At 36.0% G+C, this 11,715-nt stretch overlaps 1 annotated feature.

Moving 5' to 3' along the window:
• Positions 4,854-4,903: an enhancer, noted in NCBI's record as "active region_23007". NCBI's record gives its function as "activates an Ori minimal core promoter by ATAC-STARR-seq in GM12878 lymphoblastoid cells {active_cell/tissue: GM12878}" and the evidence as "EXISTENCE:reporter gene assay evidence [ECO:0000049][PMID:35858748]".

Consider the following 11,715-nt stretch of genomic DNA (forward strand, 5'->3'; position numbering starts at 1 on the left):
GCAAGTCTTTTGGTTAACAATCCTCAGATTTCCACCAGTGCTTTTGACTGTACATGCTGCGGCTGCTCCTTCTGCATCTCCTTTGTGCCAGCCTGTGATGTGTTTATGGAAACTCTGCTGGCCTTGCCTGGAAACAGCCCCAAACCCATTCTTCTATGGTTTTCCTGGGAAAGAAGGATGGAAAGGTAGACAGAAGAGATGGTGGGAGTCAAAACAGAAAGTCTTAGGTGCTCACAAGTTGACCAGTAACTGTCAGGAAAATAAATAACGTGCCGATATCTGACAGTATAAGAAGAAAGAAAGGAAATTAAGTTTTTATTAAAAGAGATAACAGAAATGTTATCAGTCAGGCAGTTTCCTATTGCCTGCTGGGTCTAGTAATGAGGATTCCCAGTTCTGTAAAGGATAAGCTGTCAGAAAAGGCCTATGGATGCACAGTAAGAGTTTCATCGAAGCTTCATTCCACTGCAGATCTTACTCTTATGAAACATTTATTTAAAATACTCTAAACAATTAATATGAAAATTTAAAAAATTATATATACTTTGCTTAACTTGGGGCCTTCAGCTAGATTTTTCTGCTTTAAGTCCTAGAGCATGATGAATTAGAAACATGTATTCAAAAGGAAAAATATTTCATATAACAAATTTATACACAAAAGAATGAAGCTAAAAGTTCTGGCTGAGATTAATGTTTATTACAAGAAATTCAAAGTACTATTTCCCTGATTTCTTCTCATTAGGACTTATGTATCCATTTATTATGATATTGAGCAACTCAAAAAGAGAAAAACACATCAAAAAATTGAAAGTTATATTAAAGTTAAAAAAAAAAAGAAAAAAACCCTGACAATCTCTCCTATAAGATCAGTTCACGTTGCCTGTCAAAGTTTGCTAAACAATCAACTTGTTGAATTAGGCAATGTTTTCACCCCATATGATACCCACACCTCAAAAAGCTTTTATTTATTTTATTTTTATTTATTTATTATTTTTTTTGAGACTGAGTTTTGCTCCTGTTGCCCAGGTGTAGTGGCGTGACCTCATCTCACTGTAACCGCTGCCTCCTGGATTCAAGAGATTCTCCTGTCTCAGCCTCCTCAGTAGCTGGGATTACTGGCATGTGCCACTACGCCCAGCCAATTTTTTGTGTTTTTAGTAGAGACAGGGTTTCATTATGTTGGCCAGGCTGGTCTCGAACTCCTGACCTCAGGTCATCCACCTGCCTCAGCCTCCCAAAGTGCAGATTACAGGCGTGAGCCACTACACCCGGCCTCAAAACCCTTTTAAATGTTAAAAATTATGAATGGTCCAAATAATTGAGTATGGAACAAAAGAGAAGATGAAAGAGAGGCTTGATTCAAATGAGTTATACATCTTTATTAGCACAAATTAAAGTTCTTCATATGTACCAACTTCCTCCAGAACACTAAATTGGGAACAACAAACAAGTCCCAGAGAGCGTCTTTTCACACTTCCTAATCTTGGTTTGAACAGTTCCTGGGTTGCATTGAAAATTGATTTTGTTTTCTAAGTAGGTTTTCAAATTCAGATATTCTGAACAGTGGTTGACTGATTGCATGATTCATGGTGGCAAACCCTTCAGTGCTGGTGAAGTGGGAAGATCCGCAGATGTCAGGGCAGTCGGGGTACAAGTGTGGATACTCCAATTTTTAATTTAATGGGTTATTTTGGTGTGGAAATGGCTGAAGCTTGAGTGAGGAATGAGAGAAAATAATTATCTGAGGCATGAGAGCTGAGTAGAGTTGTTCTTGATTTTAAAGTTATTTTTGCAGAACCAAAAAACACACTACATATTCTTTTAAAAATTATTTCTAATTTCTGAATTTATTTTAAAAATTTTCAGAAAGGAATGCAACTTAAATAGCATTTGTATTGCCCTAAAAATCTTTGGGGGAACAAAAAATGATATAAATAAGCAAGTTTAGTTACTACTACATGTGTATTCTTTATTGACATATAGTACTTAAAATCCAGACTGTCCCAGAACATCTGCAGACCATTTTATACATTCCACAGGAAACCTTTGGGCACGAATTATTAAAATTTCTGAAGAAGGAGGTGAAATACAGAAAACTAAGATATTTAAATATGTCTCAAACAGGCCTTTGGTTAAAATGGCTCCATAATTTCACACTTAAACATATCACCTCTTTCTTTTCCAAAGACAGAGCAATGGCAGATAAAATCAATTAAGAGTAATTGAGCTCAAAAAAAACTATATAAACATCTACATGCACTAGAAGTGCAACAAAAACACAGACCAGTAATAAGCTGAAACTCAGAGCTTTCTGGTTCTTGGGGAGGTTGGCTAAAATCTTGGCTATTGAAAAGTTAACAGGGACTAGAAATGCCTAATCTAAGCTGGGAGGCACAATCCAGTCTTATTAATTGAAGCCAGGGACTCTCTTCAAACCCACCATGAAATGAGGCCAAAGAAAAGAGCTACTGACAACCAAGAAAATCAACAATGAGACCATCAATTTATTCCAAATAAAATTAATTTTAGAAAGCACTTTGACAGTCTTTAAAGTGAGGATACTTATGATGCTCATTTCATCTGTTTTCAAAGTGGAAAAGAAATTATAAAATAAGATGTGGAGAAATGAGGCATGAAAAATGTGAGCTATGTGAAAAAGCTTATTAGGAACCGTGAAAATAAAAAAAAAGAACTTAAAAAATCTTCTTAAGTTACAAAAAGGCTGAAATAAGCACAATTAGAGAATTAGTAAATTTTAAGAACTGGTGAATTCCCTCAAAAATGTATCATGAAGAGATGTAAAACAAAGAGCAGTTGAGAGCCAGAGGCACCGCCTTGCAAGTTCTCTGCATCATAGAAAAGTCGGGAACTACCGCCCCCAGAATCCCCTTTCCTCCATGATTTCAGGTTAATATTCACTGGTGAATGGCATTCACATGAAAATGTGGGGTGGAAGGGATGGGTAGGCATTATTCTCCTGAGACATTTGCACCCAGACATACGGACAGACATGAGATTCACATCAGCTTTCCCGGGAGCTCTTGAGGACCACCTGCTTCAGAACTTCAGGCTGAGATTATCAGGGGTGGCTCTTTTGATCTTCACCTCCCCAGTTCTTCACATGTAAGCCCCTAATGGTTATATTAAAACCACTTATACCCAGAGTGCAGAGAGAGCTTCTGTGTTCCTGAGCAAATACTGAATACATGCAGTTTGCATATGATAGTTATTTTATTATTTATTTTATTATATCCTCTCTTAGCCTTTTAAAAGATGAGAAAAAAAAGGCATACAGAATTAGCTGCTCCACATCACAATAAATAATCAGGGATTGATCCCTCAAGCCTATGCTGATCCTGATTAAATAGGAGTGTGTTGGGAAGAATGCTGAAGCTGTATGGGCACAGTGAGAACCAAGGTCATAATCTCCTGGCAATATTACTGACAATGCGTGGGTACAGGGCAGGGAGTGGTCATAAATGTATTTGTCAGTTGCATACTAAAATATCAAGGGAATAATAAAATGACAGCCCTGTTTTGGCCCTCTGTGACCCAGGTCTGTACACTAGAAAGTTACACTTGCATTGGGCAATTGTTTGGCCCTCTGCACAAATCAGGATCAAAACATAGTCTCTCATATGTTAAACATTATAAATTAACTACATCATGTTTCTTCTTTCACATTTTTAGACGTCTCCTAATCATTTTACTGCCCATTTAATACCTATAAACAGTAATCTTTCTAAAGGTTTTTATATTAACATATTCCTTTCTGGGCTTACTCAGACAAAACACCGGCTTTACTAAAAGCCCTTGGTCACTCAGTAAAATGTTATCATTCATCCCATGGTGCTGTGTAACCTTGCAGAGAAGCCTGCCTCATACATAAGATCAATAATAATTGTGATGTACCCTGTATGGGCAAGATTTGGTACTTCCTTTATGAAAGACTGAAAGACAGAAAAAAGAATAGTGTTACTGTTACTGGGCACATTTATTCTCGTTTTACAAGCACTATGCAATTTAATTTGGATTCAACTTCCCTATTCTATAATCTGCACTTCTTTCCGAATGCCAATAGGAAGGAAATGGCAAATCAGAAGAGTCTAGTAAGTGCGCATTTTAAACATAAGGCAGGAATTTTAGATCTACCATGTGTCAGATCTTTGTTCTTGGTTCATCAGGCCACAATTCATGCCAAATCATTTATCTTATTTTTATTTCAAGACTACAATTGATACACTATGAAGTGTAGCAGTTAGAGAAAATGATTAATAGGTCTCTTTAGCTGTTGATAAATGGTTGAGAACATAAAAATGGAACAAAAGAAACAACAACTATAGATTATAGAAATAGTGATCCTGATGTAGAATTGAAGTCTTTCATCTATTTCTGGGAAAGAGGGCAATAATCTAATGAGAATATTTCTCTATTTTCCCACTCTGAACTCCTTATTTACAAGTAGACATATTCTTAATTTGCTTTTTGATAATGTAAATCAGTACTATATTTTAGACTATGTTTTAGAAACTTTAAAAACTTCTTTCTATACGTGTCTAATTTGAGGCTGCCGGGTGATTTGGTTCAGCTAGGATGTGAGTTTTACTCAGTTCTCATTTCAAAAGCAGAACGTTCGGGCCACTATTTGTCAGGTGATTATGCTCTGCTTATGTTCATTCAGGTGGTCACTGAATTGCCTGCAATCTGCACCATTAATCAAGTTGCCTACTTGGTTGTTAAGGGAACTGAAAACCCCCGCTCAGCTATTTTTTCCAATCTGGTGTTTTTCATGGTTTCACCACTTTATCATGTTAGTTACTGAATTTCCCTATTTTGCATTCACTTGTTCACTCACATTAGAAAAATACATCAGTGTATGTATTTTAGTCTGCATAGAAATCTGGCAATGCCTTTTAAGTCGACCCTGATAAAAAGAATACTAAGAAAATTTTCATAGCAAGAGATGTAGCTGGTCTCCAAAAGATAGATTTAATTTACTAGCATGGGAAATAATAACAGAATCATTTTCTATTTACCAATCAAAACTATGTCCATGTATTTCCACTGTCATTATCTACTTTATATTTAGTGGAAATACTTAAGCAAATATTAATAATCAGTATAATATTCCTGAGGACTCTGACTCTGTCTTTAGAGATGAAATTAAGGAGAGAGCTGAGCAATTACCAAATGGGTTTTATCCACAAAGACAAGTCCTAGAAAAGCCTTGCTAAAGCGATGCCTTGCCCTCAATTTAAAAAATCTTTTCTGTAATCCATTTCACCCTGTTTTAAAAAATATTAATTAACTAATCCAACAAATATTTAATGGGCACTGATTTTGCTATAGGCTTTGGGGTATTTAAAAGATGAGAATACCCTCAGGAAGTTCTAGAAATGGGGAGTCCCCATAAGTTCGATCTCATACCCTCTCTTTAACCCCTGTCCACTTAATAAGTTTCAATATGGTGCCCCAGTATATCAGATGAAAAGAATTATAGCATTGAAAGTGTAATAACTATGTGAAAAATGGATGAAATAAGCTATATTAATTATGAAACACATTCATGATGTCTTCAACTAAGTCTAAAAAATGTGTACATTTTTCAAGATAGAAAAATAAATTCACAGTTTATGACTACAAGCTTTAGGAGAGATGGGTCACTATGCCATCCAATATGTATGTATTGTATCACATCCTAAGCTGTTTCTCCCTGTATATTCTAGTGAAGCAGAGAAGCTAAACAGCCATGACAAGTACAAGGACAGGTTATCACATGTGCACATAGGAAGGGCAACTAGCCAGCAACACGTCTATCAGAGATTCTTTATTTCAGCAGGAATGTCCTCTGAATTATCACCTGTTTTTCCTAATAAAGAGACTAGGTCCCTAGAAGGTGACAGTGGCAAGAGATAAACTGTAGGTGTTCATTTACTGAATGTTTTCTCATTATACGTTTGTTTATTGGACATACATTCAGTAATCTCTCAGGTGCCAGGTTTTGCATCAGCATCTGTGATGTTACTATGTCTTCTAGAAAGAAAATAAAAATCCCAGAAAGAGCTTCAGATTCATTATCTTGTCCTCTACCCAGTGAGCTATCCAAAGTTTTGTAACTTTTGTTTAAAAAAGCCTTATGTCTGCTGGGAGTGAGTTTTCCAAATTTTCTGTGGGGAAAACCTTCCCATTATGAAAATTATTCTTCAAAGAAATTAAACTAGTTCTTTCTGTCTTGCAAGCCATTGTTAAAGAAATAAAGAAAACTCTAAGCCTAAGGCAAGCCCTAGATAACACCTAAAAATAGAGATTTTTTTGGCAAAAATAGAGATGTTTTTGGCATATTTAGAAGAAATTACAGAGAATATACTTCTTTGATCACCTTTCTTTGTTTCTACAGTGTTGGAAACTTGTAGAAACAAAAACCTACTTGAAAAACAAAACCTGTAAATGAGTTATTTCACTTAAAGGAAATGCAATTTTACCTAAAAGGAGTCTTTTTTTTTCCTTTCAGTGTAAGGCAAGAGTAATTTAATTTAGGAGGCTGTTAACCTCCAATGTAACAGATACATAAATCATATTAAAACCACCTTGGAATTTGTAGTGAGCAATGAAATAGATCCCAAGACCAATAAAAGAACTCAGCTAAGTGACTTATCTAAAATGTACACCAGGTAGCAAAGAAGAGGATTCAGGTTTAATTTAAAAGCAAATATCCAGTTTCCTTTTCCTATTTTTCTATATTTTCCTCTTCACTAAGATATAGTTTCAAAGTAATATTCTTGTTCTTTTTCATTATGCTTTCTTTCCTTTTATTTTTTCTTTCTCTTTTTCAGGCTGAGTTTGATGTAAGTTTGGAAGCTACTAAAAAGGGCTTAGGTCCATTTAAAAATTAAAACCAACTCTGCTTCTCAATTGTTTGATTAAAAATTTTGCCTGATTTAAGTTCACAAAATACTAATAGTATTTTTTGTATGATTATATTATACCAATTGTGTCATCTCAAATTAAAATTTTAAAATGCTATTTTAACATTTCATATAAAAGGAAATAAATTTAAGATTTGGAAACTTGACCAGAATACATGTAATACACATAATAAGAAATTATTCCTTGCAAGTCAAGGTGACATTCTGCCCCTAAAAAATTTTAAATAATTTACTTCATGTGAAAATAATGTAAAGAGTATACATTCCATAAGATACAGAGTAATCAAATACTGCATAACTTTGGTATCTCTCTTTCTCTCTTGATTTTTGCTATGTATCACTAGTAACGATATGTTTGTCAATGGAGCAAAATAAGTTTTAGGAATGATAGTACTAAATTAACATAGCCACTGGACATCTGCTTTTTATAATCTTGATGTCCTACATTATTAAGTTATCAATCTCTGAAATACAGTACTGTTGTCTGTTGCTAACAAAAAGAATATTGTACCAGAAAAGGGAGCATTAAACTATCCCAATAATTGGCATTTCAATAGCCAAAAAAATGCCTCTTGAATTTGCTTCTTACAGGTCTGAACATACTATAGTCTGGCATGAATTGACCCAGGAGTATCCTTGCAGTGTTGAGGTCTCTTCTGTTTACAAAATCTAAAACTGTAGAAAAAGAGCCAACTGGCTTGAAGGGGCAGCCATTGCTTCTATAGCTATGTCTTTGTGTCTTTATTCAGTCTTAATGCCTTTACAGAAAATAGTCCAATTTGGGACCTACAACTACAATAGTCCAATATGGGGCCTACAACTAGTTCCTGACCTCAGTCAAAGCAAATAAAATGTGTTTATTTACCAAAAAGACTTTTACTACTTGTATAAAATGCCCCCTTTGGGAAATAGGTACTGGGTAGATTGTTGAAAGTGAAGATGAATTAGTTTACTTTGGGACAGAATGTAGAGAATAAGATATGATGGCATATATTAGCCTTGGTAAAATCCCAGAGGAAAAGGACACAAAGAAGGGAGTGAAGCAGGAAGGCAGGGAAAGCAATAACAGGGATGGAACTATTATCTACCTGGCCACCCTGATAATAGTTACAGCTGATCACTGGAACATAACGGAGGTTCTGAGAGGCCACAAAACTATTGTGCCTCATGACAGTCTGTCTGTGGGAAAAGAGGAAAAGAACGTACATGTTGGTTTATTTTCATTCACTATTTATCGCTATATCCATATACTTCTCAATTTGTCACGAACTGCTGTAGTGTAGCTAGCATCCTCAGGGCTCTAGTTTGGCCAACATGCAGATGCAGGGACCAACACTGTGTGTGTGTGTGTGTGTGTGTGTGTGTGTGTGTGTGTGTGTGTGTGTGGTGGGAGTGGAGAGCAGTCTAAACCTGGATCCACATCTGCAAAAACAAGCACATGTCATTGCTAGGGCTGTGCCAGAAAGCCAAGCAAATGTGTTCATCTGTGGTCATGCGGAAATATACCCTGTACAAAGAATAAGTCTAGTTTGAGAAAGCTGATTACCTCAGGAAAGGTTAGTTACTTCCTCCCCTGTGTTTCTACAGCACCTAATATACACCAATATTAGTAATTTGAGCCCATTATATCATAACTATTTATGTGTGTGTGTGTCTGTCTGTAAAAGATGGTTAACTCCTTAAGTAGGGTAACCTTATTTCTGGGTTTGTACTCGATTCACTACAGTTTAGTTAACATTGGATAATTATTTTAATTCCTTCTTTTACTTTCAAAGTGTCTTTGTTTGGGTAATGAATTACAGGATCACTGTACTCATAAGATATAGTCATGTTTTATTCAATATTGAAAGTACATTCATGCCTAGTATAACATCTACATCATAAGATGTGTTTAATAAGAGTTTATAACCTTTTGAAAATGGAAATAGTGATAAGATTGAAGAATTTGAATAATTTAGAATGTTAAAAAGAGAAAATAGAGATATTGACAATATTTGCTAAATTTAAAAAATAATTGCTTTCATAGAATTTATTGGATAGAATGCAAAGATATTAAAATTTAAACACATCTGGTATGATTTTAATATTTGCTTACTGAGAGAATTACAAGAGGGAAATAATATTAGTTGATAAATAAGCAATAATAGCTACAGTGGTTGTCCTGTGCCAGACACTAGGCACTTTACATGGATCATTTCATTTCTGGCAGACATTGCTAATGCCTACCCAATTAATAGTCTGTTCTTTCCTAACAGGCCACTGATTTTGTTTGGGGCGGAAATGTGTCCAAACAAAAATCCCTTTAATGTTCTAGCCTCCACTGCAGCAAGTGGTAGCCATGAGACACTGTAATAGCTTCTGAGATGCAGTGGGAATCCAGCAAAAAGATTTCTGAAAAAGGTTTTGCTTCCTTAAAACAGGTAGATACTGGTTCCTTCTTGTCTTTCCTGCATAAAATGTTGATAATAGACTTTCAGGAGGAACAGCAACCTTGCAACCATAAATGTGAAAATCACACATGAGTACATGCTACAGTCTTGGGCTGCCAAATTCTAGGCTTCTTCTTATGTGTGAGAAAGAAATCCCTAACTCTTCAAGCCAATGTTAATTGCATTTTCTGTTGTCTACACCATTTCCAAAAGATACATTATTTACTTTTTATAATATCACTATGGAGTATTAGGTTGAATCATATGAAATACTGATCTATGAAAATGGCAATTGAATTAATTCATTTTTCATAATTAATTTAACAAATATTTATCACACATCTACCATGGGCCAGGAACTAGCACATGCTAGCAAACTAGAAAAAGTCACCCTTATTTTAAAATGTAGTAATGAAATATTACTGTAGACCCTGATATGGTTTGGCTGTGTCCCTACCCAAATCTCATCTTGAATTTCAGTTCCCCACATGTTGTGGGAGGAACCTGGTGGGAGATAATTGAATCATGGGAGCGTTACCTTCATGCTGTTCTCCTGATACTGAGTGAGTTCTCATGAGATCTGATGGTTTTATAAGGGACTTTTCTCCCTTTTGCTTGCCACTTCTCCTTCCTGTCACCTTATGAAGAAGGACATGTTTGCTTCCCCTTCTGCCATGATTGTAACTTTCCTGAGGCCTCTCCAGCCATGTGGAACTGTGAGTCAATTAAACCTCTTTCTTTTATAAGTTACCCAGTTTCAGGTATGTCTTTATTAGCAGTGTGAGAACGGACTAATACAACTCCCAAATTCATAAAACTGGAACCATAGTTAACTAAACCAAAAGGATAATGACCTGAATATAAAAGTCAGATATGATAGGATGAATATTATACAGATGTATTAGTTGAAGCCAAACAGATAATTGCCTTTCAACATACATTTGGGAACAATTTGAAGTTTAGTATCATGTATAGTGGCTGTTATAAAGTTGAGAAAATTGGAGCTCTGTAAACACAGGAAAAATAGAATAGGGTAATTCCTCTAAGAGATTGCAGTTTAAAAAGAGGAGGCCAAGATTCAGGATCCATTGGTGAGCTGCTTTAGTTTCTCTACAATTTCTGTTTAAAATGTAGGCCATGGACTTTGGACAGCAGCTTCAATCTGAGTTTATATCCAAGTAATTTTTTTTCTTGCCAAGAACAACCAGACTTGGCAGGAAATGCTGACACACAAGCGTCAGTTCCCCAGCAGTACCAAATCTATCTTCTAAGAACTGTGGTCAGACACCGTAATGAGGCTTTCATGGGGAAAAATAATAGTTCTTGACCTGACACCTGAAAAACTAAACAAAACAAAAGCCAAAAAAAGTTACTTTAGTCGATTCTAAAAATTCATTTTAGTTGGAAGGATTCCTCTTTAGTTTTTCTTTTTATTTTCCTAATATGTCTCCTGTAAAAAAATCTTGATTTGAGAAGCAAAGTATACTTTCCAAACATCTAGGCAGAAAGGCTACTCTAATGGTGTGTTTTATCAAACAATTACTTTGTGATATGCACACCACAAGATTTAACTTGAAAGTTGGGGATAAAATTCAATTTTGCTTTGCAAGATTTTTGAGTATTTCCTAGTAAGAAAGCATGCCATTTTGTCTTCACATCTTGAGGAACTGGAAAAAAAAAAAAAGCGTCAATGAGAACATTGAAGGTTTTCACTAAATAATATTAAATAACGTTTAAATGGTGATTTCCTATCTCTATTTATGGTTCAGGCCTTCTAGCTTGCTAATTCCAAGTAACAGGATCCTTTGGTAGATAAGATGGGTGTTGAAATGCCTCTTTTCCCCAGCAGAGTATACTTAATTAGGTGTTTTCTGCTTGTGTTGAGGTTATTAGCTCATCAAAAAAGTACTGATATTTTCTGGGGGGAGCTTAGGGTGGCTTTGGGTCCTGGTCTGCCTGACTCCATCTTCTCCAAAGAGAATATATGTCCTGCATGAAGGGACCTGAGGAACTTATGATCCTGTTTTTGTCAGGTGGCATAAGGATGGAGCTGATACGAAAGTGCTGGGGAGGGAAGAGCGTGGTCCCTTTAAATAATATGAGAAGGGGTAAGGGAAGTGCTGAGGTGAGGAGATTGTGGTCCCTGGCTAGGGTTCCACCCCCATGGACCTAGGTGAGGACAGGCATTTCCTGCCCAAATGTTTTCCCAAGACCATGCTGGCCTTCCATGCCCCCATCCTGTGCCTATAAAAACCCAAGACCCTAGTGGACAGACACACAAGTGGCTGAACATCGTGAGAACACAGCGGCAGAAAAAGACACAAGTGGCTGGTCCTCGAGAGGAGCACCCCAGCAGAAGA

The sequence above is a fragment of the Homo sapiens genome, chromosome 5, assembly GCF_000001405.40.
Source record: "Homo sapiens chromosome 5, GRCh38.p14 Primary Assembly".
In the NCBI taxonomy this organism is placed as follows: Eukaryota; Metazoa; Chordata; class Mammalia; order Primates; family Hominidae; genus Homo; species Homo sapiens.